The sequence below is a fragment of the Homo sapiens genome, chromosome 16 (genome assembly GCF_000001405.40).
Source record: "Homo sapiens chromosome 16, GRCh38.p14 Primary Assembly".
Lineage (NCBI taxonomy): Eukaryota > Metazoa > Chordata > Mammalia > Primates > Hominidae > Homo > Homo sapiens.
Genome location: NC_000016.10, coordinates 85,029,587 through 85,044,072, shown reverse-complemented (window position 1 = coordinate 85,044,072; position 14,486 = coordinate 85,029,587). Strand labels below are relative to the sequence as shown.

Genomic DNA, 14,486 nt, shown 5'->3' with positions numbered 1-14,486 from the left:
AGCAAGAAGGTTCAAGTAAGGCATTTCTCTTTTTTTTCTCTTGAGACTGAGTTTTGCTCTTGTTGCCCAGGCTGGAGTGCACTGGCGCAATCTCCACTCACCACAACCTCCGCTTCCCGGGTTCAAGATTCTCCTGCCTTAGCTTCCCGAGTAGCTGGGATTACAGGCATGCGCCACCTCGCCCGGCTAATTTTGTATTTTTAGTAGAGATGGGGTTTCTCCTTGTTGGTCAGGCTGGTCTCGAACTCCCGACCTCAGGTGATCCGCCCGCTTCGGCCTCCCAGAGTGCTGGGATTACAGGCGTGGGCCACCGCGTCCGGACTCAAGTAAGGCATTTCAATCCATTAAACATCATTTCCTGGCCAGGCATGGTAGCTCACACCTGTAATTCCAGCACTTTGGGAGGCTGAGGTGGGTGGATCACTTGAGGTCAAGAGTTCAAGACCAACCTGGCTAATATGGTGAAATCTCATCCCTGCTAAGAATATGAAAGATTAGTCGGGTGTGGTGGCGCACGCCTGTAGTCCCAGCTACTCAAGAGGCTGTGGCATGAGAATTGCTTGAACCCAGGAGGCAGAGGTTGCAGTGAGCTTAGATGGCACCACTGCACTCCAGCCTGGGTGATGGAGCGAGACTCTGTCTCAAAAAAAAAAAAAAAAAAAAAAAAAAAATCCAAGAAGCAACAGGCTCCAAACCCTGCCATCTCATGCCCTGTTTGAGAAGGACGCCTCATCGGTGTGCACCATAGACGGAGGCTGGAGGTTGTTTCAGTGCGCAGGTATGTGTGGTGTGTACCTGGGTAAGAGAACTTGTTTTCCAGGTTCGTGCTTTCAGTTGTAGCTGGGGGTAGTAAATCGAATTGTTTTAGTAGGTCCTCACAAGGAATAACTACACAGCTGTTTTTTCAAGTGCTACTGTACCTATCAAAATTACTATTTAAAAAGTATTTTTATACACTGCTAGTCTAAAATTGTATTTCGGTTTGTGCCTGTTATGACATATTAGCAAATGTAAAGAATTATCTTTCCTACTACTTGTTTATAAAGCTCGTAGTTGTTAAAAATAAAGATGTTTATTCCACCCGTTAGAGAAGTTATATACAATCACAGTTTTCTAAAAATTGTGTCCTTAAAAACTTATATTTGAATAAAAGGATGGCAATTTCAGACATTTCAAAAGTCTCTGCTCCTCCCTCTCGGGGAATGTCAGAAGCCTGCCTGCCTCTGAGTGCCACGGCGAGGCCTGGCACAAATGCCCTGCAGAAAGGCCAAGCCGACTGCTGCCTGCTGCTGCCTCTGTGCACGGCACTGCTGAGAGGGAGCCATGCTGGTCTGGACTATTCTTTTCCACAATGCCCAGCATTACCATTATTTACTACTTTTTGATAATGATATAATAACTACAACTCACCTTTATTGTATATTCCCTACATACTAGGCATTAATTATCTGATTTCATTCTCCAGTAACATATGAGCTAAAACTATTATCCCCACTTTATGGAGGAAGAAACTTTAAGGCTTAAAAGGGTTAAACAGTTGCCTAAGGCTACAGAGCAAAGATGGAAGTGTCTAGATAAACCCAAGCAGAGGGGGAGTCCACAGCCTTACAATATTGCGGGTATGGACAAGGACCCTGCCCCCTATTTGCTCATCTGGGGGATGAATAAGGACCCTTTACATAGCTGCAGTACACCGGGGTGGATTAATACTCCCTCGACCAACACCATGGGAAAAGACTCAACCTATAGGTCTCCTCATTTGGAAGACACACAGACCGCACGTGATTAGCAATTTGATATCCCATCCAAAGCATTTGAACTTCTCTATTTCCCACTTTAGTAGAGACTGACAAACAAGGAGGGCTTAGCACTTTTCACCCATAAATGCTGGGCTTTCGCAAAAGTTACTCGCTGCCAAAAGAAAAGAGTTGAATGTTATTACAATAATTATAAGAGAATAAAGGATGTTTGCAAACAAGTGGGAACAAAACAGCTGTGCACTAATTAATTCTAGACTTTGTGTTACTCAAATAAAACCCCAGGATGTCAGGGTTACATGAGACTTCAGGCTTCTGGCAAATGGGTAGGGGCTTGGCAGACAGACAAGGAGGGACAGGAGTGCGCAGCATAGGGGCAAACGCTCGGAATCCCGGGAATCGTTTCAAGAGCGGGACACTGAAGCCCAGAGAGTGAAGTGACAAGGTGAAGCTGTATCCCCAAAGTCAGGCGGTGGTTTCCTCAGATGGGTCCAGAACCCCCATTTTCCACCCACCGTGTCACCAGCTGGGTAACACAGAGAAACAGGGGAACCCAGGGTCCCTCCTTCCCCGGGTGGCTTGTCACCTCTCTGCTCAGTGCCAAGTCCGGGAATTTCATCACCGGAGGCTGAAGAGGACAGCTGCTGTCTCTGCCACTTCTCCTTTCCTTACGGATGGAGGCAGCGCCCGAGTAGCGAGACAAAAGGTGTTACTTTGTCCAGTTCAAGCCATTCACTTGGCAACCATCTTGAAGCCCCTATCAAGCACTGGAACTGTGATAAATCCTACGAAACAAAGATGAATAGGACATGACCCTTCCTTTCCCAAGCACAATCCAGAGAGACGCATACAGAGAAGATGACAGCCACGTGCCATACGCTCTGACTCCAGGAGGCAGATGCCAGTAGGAGCCCAGGAGCAGAACTCCACTCTGCCTGGGGCGGTTTTCAAGGGCTGCGTTCTTTGGGTGAAATCTGGTAGAAGCCTGAGCCTGTCAGTCATACAACGGAAGATATTCCGGACAGAGGAAACAGTTGGCGCGAAGTGACAGGCGTGAGGTGGTTTGCTATCCCCCACATGGCTAATTCAGACTGATTCCGACCTAGTTGGAGAGTTGGGAAGGATTAAAAAAATACTGCCTAGTCTAGCACAACTTCAGTTTCTATTTGGAAGTATTCCCCAAAACCCTAAAACTGAAACATATATAATCAACCACTTTTCTACCCATAATAAAACAGGAGCTGAATTCTTATTTAGGGGACCTTAATATATAACAAGAATTAAAATACATCTCATTCTGCACTCTAGTCCTGCTTTGCAATATGCAAATGCATTTTTGAGGAGCCTGGAAATGGTGGAGTTGGCAGATGTTTACTTGCATGTGAGCGAAAAGAAAGAGGTTTCTGCGGCTGTTTTGCTTCAAGCGTATCTAAATAGGTTCCAAGGACTGCTTTAAGTGTATTGATCCACAGTTCTCAAGGCACACGCTTCTCTAGATGGCTTCTCTACAAAATTCTCATCTGTAGTTTACAAGTGGAGCCAATTTTCTTTCATCTCAAAACGCTTTGGCTGCAGGCGGCTCCCATTTAGTCTGTGCTTTTAGGAAAAGCAATGATAGCTTGGGGAGGGTTTAACCTGAACAGAGAGAAGGGAATGAAAAGATGGGGCCTGCGTGGAACCTCTCAAGTTTCCTGAAACTAAAAACTTTCCCAACGTTACCAGAGGTAATTCCGAGACAGCAACAAACGTGTACCTGCGATGATGGACATTGGAGTTTCTTTTTTTTGAGGCAGATTCTCATCCTGTCACCCAGGCTGGAGTGCTGTGGTGCGATCTCAGCTCACCGCAACCTCCACCTCCCAGGTTCAAGCGATCCTCCTACCTCAGCCTCCCGAGTAGTTGGGATTACAGGCGTGAGCCACCACGCCCAGCCAACAGTGGGGTTTCTTGACAATGACACTGTTAATATTTGGGCTGGGTCACTCCTTGTGGTGGGGGCTGTCCTTGCACTATAGGATGCTTGGGGCACTCCTGGCCTCCACTCGCTAGATGCCAGAAGCACCCCCGAGTTGTCACAACTGAAAATGTCTCCAGTTGAAAATTCCTGATCTATATTAACTCCAAGCAATAGCTTCAAAGAATCTCAATCTCTGCACTTGCTTCCTGTTGAAAACCCTTCTCTGGCCGGGCACGGTGGCTCATGCCTGTAATCCCAGCACTTTGGGAGGCTGAGGCGGGCGGATCACCTGAGGTCAGGAGTTCGAGACTAGCCTGGCCAACATGGTGAAACCCTGTCTCTACTACAAATACAAAATTAGCCAGGCGCGGTGGCACATGCCTGTAATCCCAGCTACTCAGGAGGCCGAGGCAGGAGAATTGCTTGAACCTGGGAGGCGGAGGGTGTAGGGAGCCAAGATGGTGCCACTGCACTCCAGCCTGGGTGACAGAGTGAGAGCCACCTCAAAAAAAAAAAAGAAAAGAAAACCTTTCTTTCTTTGGTATCAGCATCATCCGGAAAAACCAAACCCAATAAAGAGTAATCATGCCAGCAGTGGTGGCTCACACCTGTAATCCCAATACTTTGGCAGGCTGAGGCAGGGGGATCACTTGAGGTCAGGAGTTCAAGACCAGCCTGGCCAACATGGCGAAACCCCATTGCTACAAAAAATATAAAAATTAGCCAGGCATGGTGACGTATGTCTGTAGTCCCAGTTACTCAGGAGTATTCCCAAGTCTGTAGTCCCAGTTACTCAGGAGGCTGAGGTGGGAGTATCGCTTGAACCCAGGAATTCAAGACCAGCATGGGCAACACAGCAAAACCCCATCTCTACAAAAAATAAATAAAAGTAGCTGGGCGTGGTGGCACATGCCTATGGTCCCAGTTACTCAGGAGGTTGATGCAGGAGGATCACTTCATCCCAGGAGGTTGAGGCTGCAGGGAGCCCTGATCGTGCAACTGCACTCCAGCCTGGGCAACAGAGTGAGACCCTATCTCAAAAAAATTAAAAAGAGTAATCATACAGACCTTTGATGATACATAAGTCCCTACATAAAACAGTGTTTTGGGTTACAAGGAACCTTGCGACATTAAATGGGCCTGGTTAAAATAGGCTTCCAATGGCACTGACTATTCCGTGACCTCTATAGCAGCAGGAGAATTGAGGGTTTGTGTTTGGCCTCCGTCCATTCAATCACTCAACAAGTATTATTGAGCATCTACAGTGCACCAGGCATTGCTCCGGGTGAAAGAGACAAAAGCCTGGCCCTCAGGGAGCTTATGTCCTAGTCAGAGAGCAAAAAAAGCAAACAAAAATACTATAGCCATCATCTGTGCTATGAATAAAATACGTCACTAACAGGTCAGAGCTGTGCTACCCACTGTGGTAGCCGCTGGCCACATGCGGCCCTTGAGCCCATGAATGTGGCTCGTTCAAGCTGTGACCTGCTGACCACATCAGACTTCAGACTTTGGACAGAAAAGAGAATGTAACTACCTCATTAGTGATTTTTATATAGATTACATGTAGAAATAATAATATTTTGGATACATTGAGTTAAATAGAATCTATCAACAAAGATATTATTATTATTATTTTTTTTTTTTTTTTGAGGCTGAGTCTGGCTCTGTCGCCCAGGCTGGAGTGCAGTGGCACAATCTTGGCTCACTGCAACCTCCGCCTCCTAGGTTCAAGTGATTCTCCTGCCTCAGCCTCCCGTGTAGCTGGGATTACAGGTGCCCACCACCACGCCCAGCTATCTTTTTGTCTTTTTAGTAGACATGGAGTTTCACTGTGTTGGTCAGACCGGTCTGGAACTCCTGACCTCAAGTGATCCACCCACCTCAGCCTCCCAAACTTCTGGGATTACAGGCATGAGCCACTGCACCCGGCCAATTAAAAAATAAATTATACTGCTAGATACCCTTACTTGTTTAATGTGGCTGCTAGATTTAAAATCATACACGTGGTGCGTCTTGCATTTCTGCTGGATTGTGCTGGGTTAGGGAAGGCGGCTGGCAGCAAGGAGCACCTTCAGCCGGAGAAAGCGGGGAGGTCACTATGATCCAGAGGCCGTGGGGCCCAGCCCAGGGAAGAGGCAAAGTCAATGCTCTTCAAGGGCATGGACCTGGGCCATTCTATCTACGGCGACATAGTGTGGCCCAGTGGGGTGCACAGAGGTGGCGTGGAAGGAGCTGAGGGTGGGAGGGCTACAGGGACCAGCCCATGGAAGCAGGGACTTGCAGGCCAAGTTACAGACTTGGGAATACATCCCAGGAGCAACTAGAGGGTTTACACCTGGGGAATGCCATGACCTGAATTCGATTTTGGAAAGATGCTGCACTCTGGCCACTGTGTGGAGAGTGGACTGGCATGCTAGCAAGAACAGATGCAGGACCACAGGTAGGACGTGCAGCCTCACGGGGCCCCTCTGCTCTTGGCCACTCCAGCTCACTTGGGAGGGTTCCCTGGAGGAGGGAGAGAGGACGTGAGAGATGCTACTTCTTTCCCACAGCATAGATGACTTTGTTAATTCTACTTCCATTAAATTTCTGATTATGTAGAATACCGCTTGCTTCCACAAGAGCAGACTCATAAAGTGTTTTTTATTATCCAAATTGGGCCTTGGGATTCTAGGAGTGATGTTGTTCTGCATAATGAAGTTCAACATAATCTGCCTCTCACTGAATAGAGTGCGGATTAGACTAGTTTTACTTGGTTAACGGGTTTTCTATTTCCTTCTAACCACTGCAAATTAAGTTTTTAAAAAATTACGGGAGGCAGTCTTAGGTTTGACATTGACATATGGACACTGTGTTCGTCTCATCTCATTCTTTTATTGCATTCTCGATACTTACTATTCACTCAGAATGTGGTTCTCTTCCCTCATGAGGCTTCCACCCCTCCTTTCAGGGTCCCATTTTGTATCCTAGCGTCCTAGGTTCACCCGATATCCCCTGACTCAAGGAAGTCAGCGTCACAGCAGCCGTCCACACGCACTGACTCTGGCATTTTCCATTTGTTCCACTGTTCCCAGATTCTCATTTTCCCCTAGCTCATTGGTCACTTTTGCCACTGAGTCATCTGCTTGTGAGTCACGCCTGGCTGTGATGTAAAGGCCAGGAAAATGTCTCCAAACACACCTGGCAGAGAAAAGGATGTCACTGAAGAAGATGGTCTGCCAGGCGCATGCTTTCCTACATGGACTTAGTCATGAAGAGAAAAAAATAATCCCCTTCTCTCTCCTTTCCTTCTTCTAATTTACCATCCCCATCAGCCTTGGCTAGAAATTATTCCTACAGTGCTATGGGTCCTGGCCATGCATTTCTGATATTTAGAGGCAGGAGAAAGTTTCTGGAATAAGGCCAGAAACCCTGCAAGAATGAAAGCAGGATTTTCTCAAGTCAGGTTCTTCCTCTATTGAGCAAGGCGGGCCTCAGACACACGCTGCCGCTGCATGGCTTTCCTTCTGGGAGCTATGAAGATCCCGTGTTACATGGAGACCACCAAACTGTGTGTGAAATAAGGAAAGGCGGGAGCTGTCCCCGGGCAGGGGGTGCTGGGCTGGTGTGACCACATGCAATGTGGTCCCCTGGACTGGATCCTGGAACAGAAAGGAAAGTACGGGAACACTGTGACAGTCAAGTAAGGTCTGTGGCGTAACACATAAGCACACCCAGTAGGGCTACTGCCTGCTCGTCCACCCCACAATCAAAGGCTCCATCTGCAAGAGGGCAGATGGAGACGAGTGCAGAGGGCCAGAAGGCACCGGCACTCTTTCCCAGTACTAGACAATCACTAAAAACATCCACACTAAAAAGGAACAAAGGATGGACACGTGCTACAATAGCAATGAACTAAAAATGAATCTAGTTACAAGGCCACATACTGGACAATTCCAGGTTTACGAAATGTCCAGAGCAGGCGAATCCACAGAGTCAGAAACTGGATTAGTGGTTGTCAGAGGCCAGTTTGGGAGGCAGGGGCAGAGACTGCAAATGGGAAAGGGGTTTCGTTGATGGAGTGATGGAAACATTCTGAAATTAGATTATGATAAGGGTTGCATCACTCAGTAAAGTTACTAAGAATCACTGAATTGTACAATTGAAATGGAAAAATGTTATGATATCTAAAACATACTCAATAAGCTGTTAAAGAAACAAACAAAGAAGGAGGAAAGAAGGCTGTTTAAACACTCTAAGCAGGCCAGGTGTGGTGGTTCATGCCTGTAATCCCAGCATTTTGGGAGGCCAAGGCGGTAGGATTGCTTGAGCCCAGAAGTGCAAGACCAGCTCAGGCAACATAGTAAGAACCCATTCCTTTTTTTTTTTTTTTTTTTTGGGACGGAGTCTCGCTCTGTTGCCCAGGCTGGAGTGCAGTGGCACGATCTCGGCTCACTGCAAGCTCTGCCTCCCAGGTTCATGCCATTCTCCTGCCTAGCCTCCCAAGTAGCTGGACTACGAGCACCCGCCACCAAGCCTGGCTAATTTTTTTGTATTCTTTTAGTAGAGACGGGGTTTCACTGTGTTAGCCAGGATGGTCTCGATCTCCTGACCTCATGATCCGCCCGCCTCAGCCTCCCAAAGTGCTGGCATTACAGGCGTGAGCCACCGCGCCCAGCCAAGATCCCATTTCTACTAGAAATAAAAAATAAAAATAAATTAGTGGGGCATGGTGGCACATGCCTGTAGTCCCAGCTACTTGGCAGGCTGAGGTGGGAGGATCACTGGAGCCCGGGAGATCAAGGCTGCAGTGAGCGGTGATTGCACCACTGCACTCCAGCCTGGACGACTGAGCAAGATCTCATCTCTAAAAACAAACAAACAAACAAAAAACAAAACAAACAGCGTAAGCAAAGTGAGAGAGATTCTGACGCTAAAAGACTTGAGGTTAAAGCCTTCCTTTTACAGCCTGGGAGAGGAGGGTCCCCACAGAGCCAGGTGGAGACCAGGGCTTCCTAAACCACCAGCTGCCTGTGCTACCAGCGTTTCTTCGTCACCTGCTCCATGCTGAGCACTGGGCTAGGCCTGGGGAACCGAAGAACGAGCAGGACAACACAGAACTTGCAGAGCCACTTCTGACCTGCTCAGAGAGGAACAGGCAGCGAAGGGGGCAAGAGACAAGTGCCTGCCACGGAATGGGGGACAGACCCAGCACCACCATGGCCATGCTCGGAGAACTGGGGGCTCCGGGAAGATGTCCTGGGGCCTGGGATTTTGACAGCCAGGTGGAAATCAGAGGGCTGAGAGGAAGCAGGGTACCTGACGGCTCGGCCTGGGGAAGGGGGGCAGAGGTAGGTGCACAGGTGTGGGGTGGGGCTTAGGGGCCCAGCGCCCTGCAGAGCACTTGTCTCCGGTGACAGGGGGTCTCAAAGGTGACCTGCACTTTCTCAGGAGAGGCAGCACAGGGGAGAGGCAAAGAACCCAGGTCCAGAGATGGGCTGCCCTGACCCATGTGCTGGCGCTGCCCCTACACACTGTGTGATGGAGCCATGTTACTCTGCCTCTCTATGCCTCAGTTTTCTCATCTGTGAAATGGGGACGGTAACCTTGGCTACGTTATACTGTTTTGGTGAGGGCTAAAGTGACAGCCCCATAAGGCACTGGGCACACAGCTGGGCGTGGACAGAGGAAACCCTATAAATATGAGCCATAATAACAACCACACTATTTTTATACCTCAGCCACATAAGATAAACTGCCCCCATCGCCTTCCTTCCGGTGAGTCCTCTGTACTTGCCCTGGACAGGGCAAACCCTACCGAGTGAAGTCTAAGGCACAAGACTACGAAAACCACCCCATAAATAAAAGCCCTTTCCCCACACTCTTGCCCCACATTTACCTCTACAGACTCATTTCTGCTAAGCACCTTCCTTCCCCAGATAAACTCCTTGGCAGGAGTACAGTCATCAGCTTTTTTGTTGTTGTCGCTGTTTATTGAGATGGAGCTTCCCTCTTGTCGCCCAGACTGGAGTTCAATGGTGTGATCTCAGCTCATTGCAGCCTCCACCCCCCAGGTTCAAGCAATTCTCCTGCCTCAGCCTCCTTAGTAGTTGGGCTTAGAGGCACCCACAACCATGCCTGGCTAATTTTTGTATTTTTAGTAAGAGAGAGGTTTTCACCATGTTGGCCAGGCTGGTCTCGAACTCCTGACCTCCAGTGATCCACCTGCCTCCGCCTCCCAAAGTGCTGGGATTACAGGCATCAGCCACCATGCCTGGCCTCATCAGCTCTTAACATGGGAAACAAGTCATCTGTCCCAACAGATGTGCTGTGGCGAGGTTGGAGGAAGGAAGGATTGAGGGGAGGGATGGCGAGCATGGCCCACGGGGTGAGGGGGATGATGGTAATTGGGGACATTAAAAGGACACTGGATCTCTGGAAGGAGACACAAGAAATGGGCAGTAATGCCACTGGGGAGGGTAACTGGGAAGTGGGGGGTGGGGCAGGGAGAGACAAACTACGACATCTTTCTGTATCATTTGAATTTGGTACCATCTGCACATATTACTTAGTCAAAAATAAATAAAGACGGGCATATTGAGTATCTGGGTGACAGAATGAGGAATTGAGGCATCTCCAGGTGCCAGTGCCAGTCACCAGATAAGTCAGCTGGCGACGGTCCTGCTCTACCCTCCCCCATCCCTGCCCCCACCCCCAGCCCAAAGGGAGAAAAGTTGCTCTATGAACTCCCTGAGGGCTCACCCTTGGTCAGATATGAGATGCAGAAGTGCAGAGCTCTGGAGGCCTTCGTGAACAGCCCTTCCAAATTACACACGGGAGGAGGCTTCTACATACGCCACCGCCTCTGGGCAGCATTGCCTAAGTGGCAGGGCATCGTATTCACCCGCGCCATTTATTTCACTGCTGGACGCCGATGAGCTGTTCCTCCACTACAAGGACCAGTGCAGCAAAACGCAAAAGAAGGGAATCATCTCTCTGGGCCCCTGCAGAGTGCATCAGAGAAACCCTGCATCCTGACCTGAAGCAGCTGTGGCATCCCTGCTGCTGTGGCGTCCCTGCTGGGAGGGGTAAAGATGTTGTGGGCTCTGCAATCAGAAGTGAGGAGATTCACTGTCAGGAGCCGCATGGCCTCGGGCAGGTCGCTGGATTGCTCGACCTCTTCACGGTGAAGCACAACGGTCAGTACTTGTCTCGCAAATCATAAGGATCATGAATGCTTCTCGTAAAAACGTCCACATCCCTGTCATTATCCCTAAAAATAACTGAGCACCTCCTGCCAATCCCTTTAAAACATCACTGCATCTTGATGCTGGAAGGCATTATGGATTGAATTCAGGCACACCCGCCGCAACCCCTGGACCCAAAAGATATGCTGAGGTCCTAACCCAGGGAATCTGTGAACTTAATTGAAAATAGGGTCTCTGTGGGGCCGGGCGCGGTCTCTATGCCTGTAATCCCAGCACTTTGGGAGGCCCAGGTAGGCGGATCATGAGGTCAGGAGATTAAGACCATCCTGGCTAACACGGTGAAACCCTGCCTCTACTAAAAATACAAAAAATTAGCCGGGAGTGGTGGCAGGCACTTGTAGTCCCAGCTACTCGGGAGGCTGAGGCAGGAGGATGGTGTGAACCCGGGAGGCGGATCTTGTAGTAAGCCAAGATTGTGCCACCGCACTCCAGCCTGGACGACAGACTGAAACTCTGTCTCAAAAAAAAAGGGTCTTTGTGGATGTAATTAGTTAAGAGGAGGTCATCCCACCACTTGAGAGGCCAAGGCAGGAGGATCACTTGAGGTCAGGAACTTGAGACCAGCCTGGCCAACATGGCGAAACCCCATGTCTACCAAAAATACAAAAATTAGCCAGGCGTGGTGGCACACACCTGTAATCCCAGCTACATGGGAGGCTGAGGCAGAAGAATGGCTTTAACTTGGGAGGCAGTGGTTGCAGTGAGCTGAGATCATGCCCTGCACTACGGCCTGGGCAACAGAGACTCTGTCTCAAGAAAACAGAAGGTCACAATGGAGTAGTGTGGACCCCAGGTCCAATCCGACTGGTGCCCTTTTAAGAGGAGAAGAGAGGCAGACCCACAGGAGGAGACATGAAGTGGAGACAAACATGCAGGGACAAGTAGGCCATGTGGCCACAGGGGCAGACCCTGGGGTGATGCAGCTGCCAGTGAGGGGACAACACGGATCACCGGCCACCAGTAGAAGCTGGGAGTGAGGCACAGAGTCTCCCTCTGAGTCCCCAAGAAGGAACCAGCCCTGTCGACACCTTAATTTTGGACTTCTGTTCTCCAGAACTGTGAGAATAAATTTCGGTTGCTTTAAGCCCCAGTGCGTGGTTCTTTGTGAGAGCACTCCCGAGAGAAATAAAGGTGACCTGGCATTACTGTCTGTCTAGTGCCTGAATTCTCTTGCCCAGTGGTCCGCTAGCCAGGCTAGGTTTCACCGTCTCTAGTAAAAGCATTCTCCATTAAACAAGGTCATTTCTGATATTGTTATGAAGAAAATAAAACACTGTAATATGATAGAGTGAGTGGGCAGGGATCAGAGGAAAAAGGAACATTATTTTGACTATTAGGGAAGGTCTCACTAAGGATGTGATATTGCAGCAGTGACCTGAATGACAGGAAGCTGGCCATGGAAAGGGGAGGAACAGCCCAGGCAAAGGTCCTGAGGCAGAGTCATCTTGGCACACGGAAGGCACAGGAAGAAGGCAGGACCGTGGTGAATGACAGCAGCAGTCAATGAAGCTGGAGAAACAGGCAGGGTCAGTCAGCACCTGTGCAGTTGCCCTAGTTGACCAAGGTCCTGGGAAGCTGCTGGGGACAGACAAGATTTAACTCAAGAGTTTTTAAACGACCACTCTCGCATAATCACGGTCTTAAAACTGAAGTCTGGGGTGCAGTGGTACATTCTTAGCTCATGGCAACCTCCACCTCTGGGGCTCAACTGATCCTCCCACCCCAGCCTCCCTAGTAGCTGGGATTACAGGTTTGCACCACCACACCTGGCTAATTTTTGTTTATTTTTTGGTAAAGACGGGGTTTTGCCATGTTGCCCAGGCTGATCTTGAACTCCTGGGCTCAAGTGATCCGCCCACCCTGGCCCCTACAAAGTGCTGGTATTCCAAGCGTAGCCACCACACCCAGCCAAGGCCAAGTCTTTCTAACGATTACTTTTGTCCTTCAGTTCTTGGAACCTTGGGCCTCTACAGAATGAGCTTAATAAATCACAGTTCCCAAGCTTCTCCAGGCTTACATCTAATTCATTCACCACTGTAGCGGTTTCCAATTAATATGCTTATTTTTTTCTGCATCCTTCATTACATGTGATGTCCAGAAAAGAACACAATGTTCTAAGCATGGAGTAGATTGGAACTATCACCTGTTTCATTCCAGACCTACACTTCTGTTCGTGTGCTGGGGATTGCCTTGGCTTTCCATTGTTTTATACCACTGACTTGCCGAAACATTTACTGGCCAACCTCCCCGTGAATTCCTTTTTAGGACTCCTCCCCATGATGCCCAGATTTAGAAAGTGGGATTAAAACTTGTCCTTCCCTCATGAGAACACCATGCCTTTATTTTTGTCTTTTTTTTTTTTTTTTAGATGGAGTCTTTCTCTGTCACCCAGGCTGGAGTGCAGTGGCGCGATCTAGGCTCACTGCAACCTCCGCCTCCTGGGTTCCAGTGATTCTGCCTCAGCCTCCTGAGTAGCTGGGATTACAGGTACCCGCCACCATGCCCAGCTAATTTTTGTATTTTTAGTAGAGACGGGGTTTCACCACGTTGCCCAAGCTGGTCTCGAACTCCTGACCTCAGGTGATCCACCTGCCTCGGCCTCCCAAAGTGCTGGGATTACAGGAAAACAACAGCCACCGCGCCCAGCCCTATGGCTTATTTTTCTTAAGTGTCACCATAATGCATACAATGCCACATATAAAAAACGGTTTCGAATAAACAAAGTTACTGGGTCAGCTCCCTTGGTTTCACAACCACCGCATTTCTCTTTTGGGTGGGGGACAAGGAAAACGATTCTAGCAGGCTGCCGGAGAACTGCGTGCTCTCTTGCCTCACACAGCTGAAGACACCTGGGCTATTTGGAAACACAGAGACTTAAGCAAAAGACGCTCTTTGCAATCATACTTCCTACTGGATTTCTCAAGGACGTCTAAATAAATCTGAGTCCATGCAGACTACCTCAAGCTTGGGGCGGGCGCAGGGGTGCTGCGGCAGACTCGGTAAGCCGGGGAGGTGGTGGAAGAGAAGGATGTTTTGCAAGCCTCTGGGGACCCCTCGTGTGAGGCACAAACCACCCGGATCCGCCCCACTTCCCATTCCACAGAGCGGTAAGGGCTGCTATATCCAGCGTCAGACGGTTGGGTTAAACACTTCACTGTGCCCCCAGTAGCAAAGAGACCCTGGGCAAGTCACTCAGCCTCAGTTTCCTCATCTATGACATGGGAACGATAACAAACCCACCATGACTGCCAAGCTTATAATGAAGATCAGCCAAGAGTCTGCATGGGAAAACCCTTGGGAAGTATTAAAGTGAGGGTTATTACGGGCAATAGGGTTTTTACTCCTGCCTTTGCATGTCTTTCCTGCTGCTGGTTGACTTCTCAGGACTTTTTTTAAAAAACTGCCCCAGGCTGCTGTTCGTGTTTCTTTTAACCTGATTACTTTTGCTTTATGAGAGAAAGGAGGGAGGAGGTGGGAGGAGAGAGAAGCAGACAGCATGACTCATCCCACCCCTTCCTGGGG

The 14,486-nt window shown here is 49.1% G+C and overlaps 1 protein-coding gene across 6 annotated transcripts in view, besides 1 other annotated feature; it reads right to left on the bottom strand.

The window, feature by feature from the left end:
• Positions 1–14,486, bottom strand: part of KIAA0513 — a 66,436-nt gene that overhangs the window by 50,158 nt on the left and 1,792 nt on the right. The window lies entirely within an intron of this gene.
• Positions 8,470–8,970: an enhancer, noted in NCBI's record as "H3K4me1 hESC enhancer chr16:85068709-85069209 (GRCh37/hg19 assembly coordinates)". NCBI's record gives its function as "activates a minimal SCP1, AML or CMV promoter by ChIP-STARR-seq in naive H9 embryonic stem cells {active_cell/tissue: H9 hESC(naive)}" and the evidence as "EXISTENCE:reporter gene assay evidence [ECO:0000049][PMID:30033119]".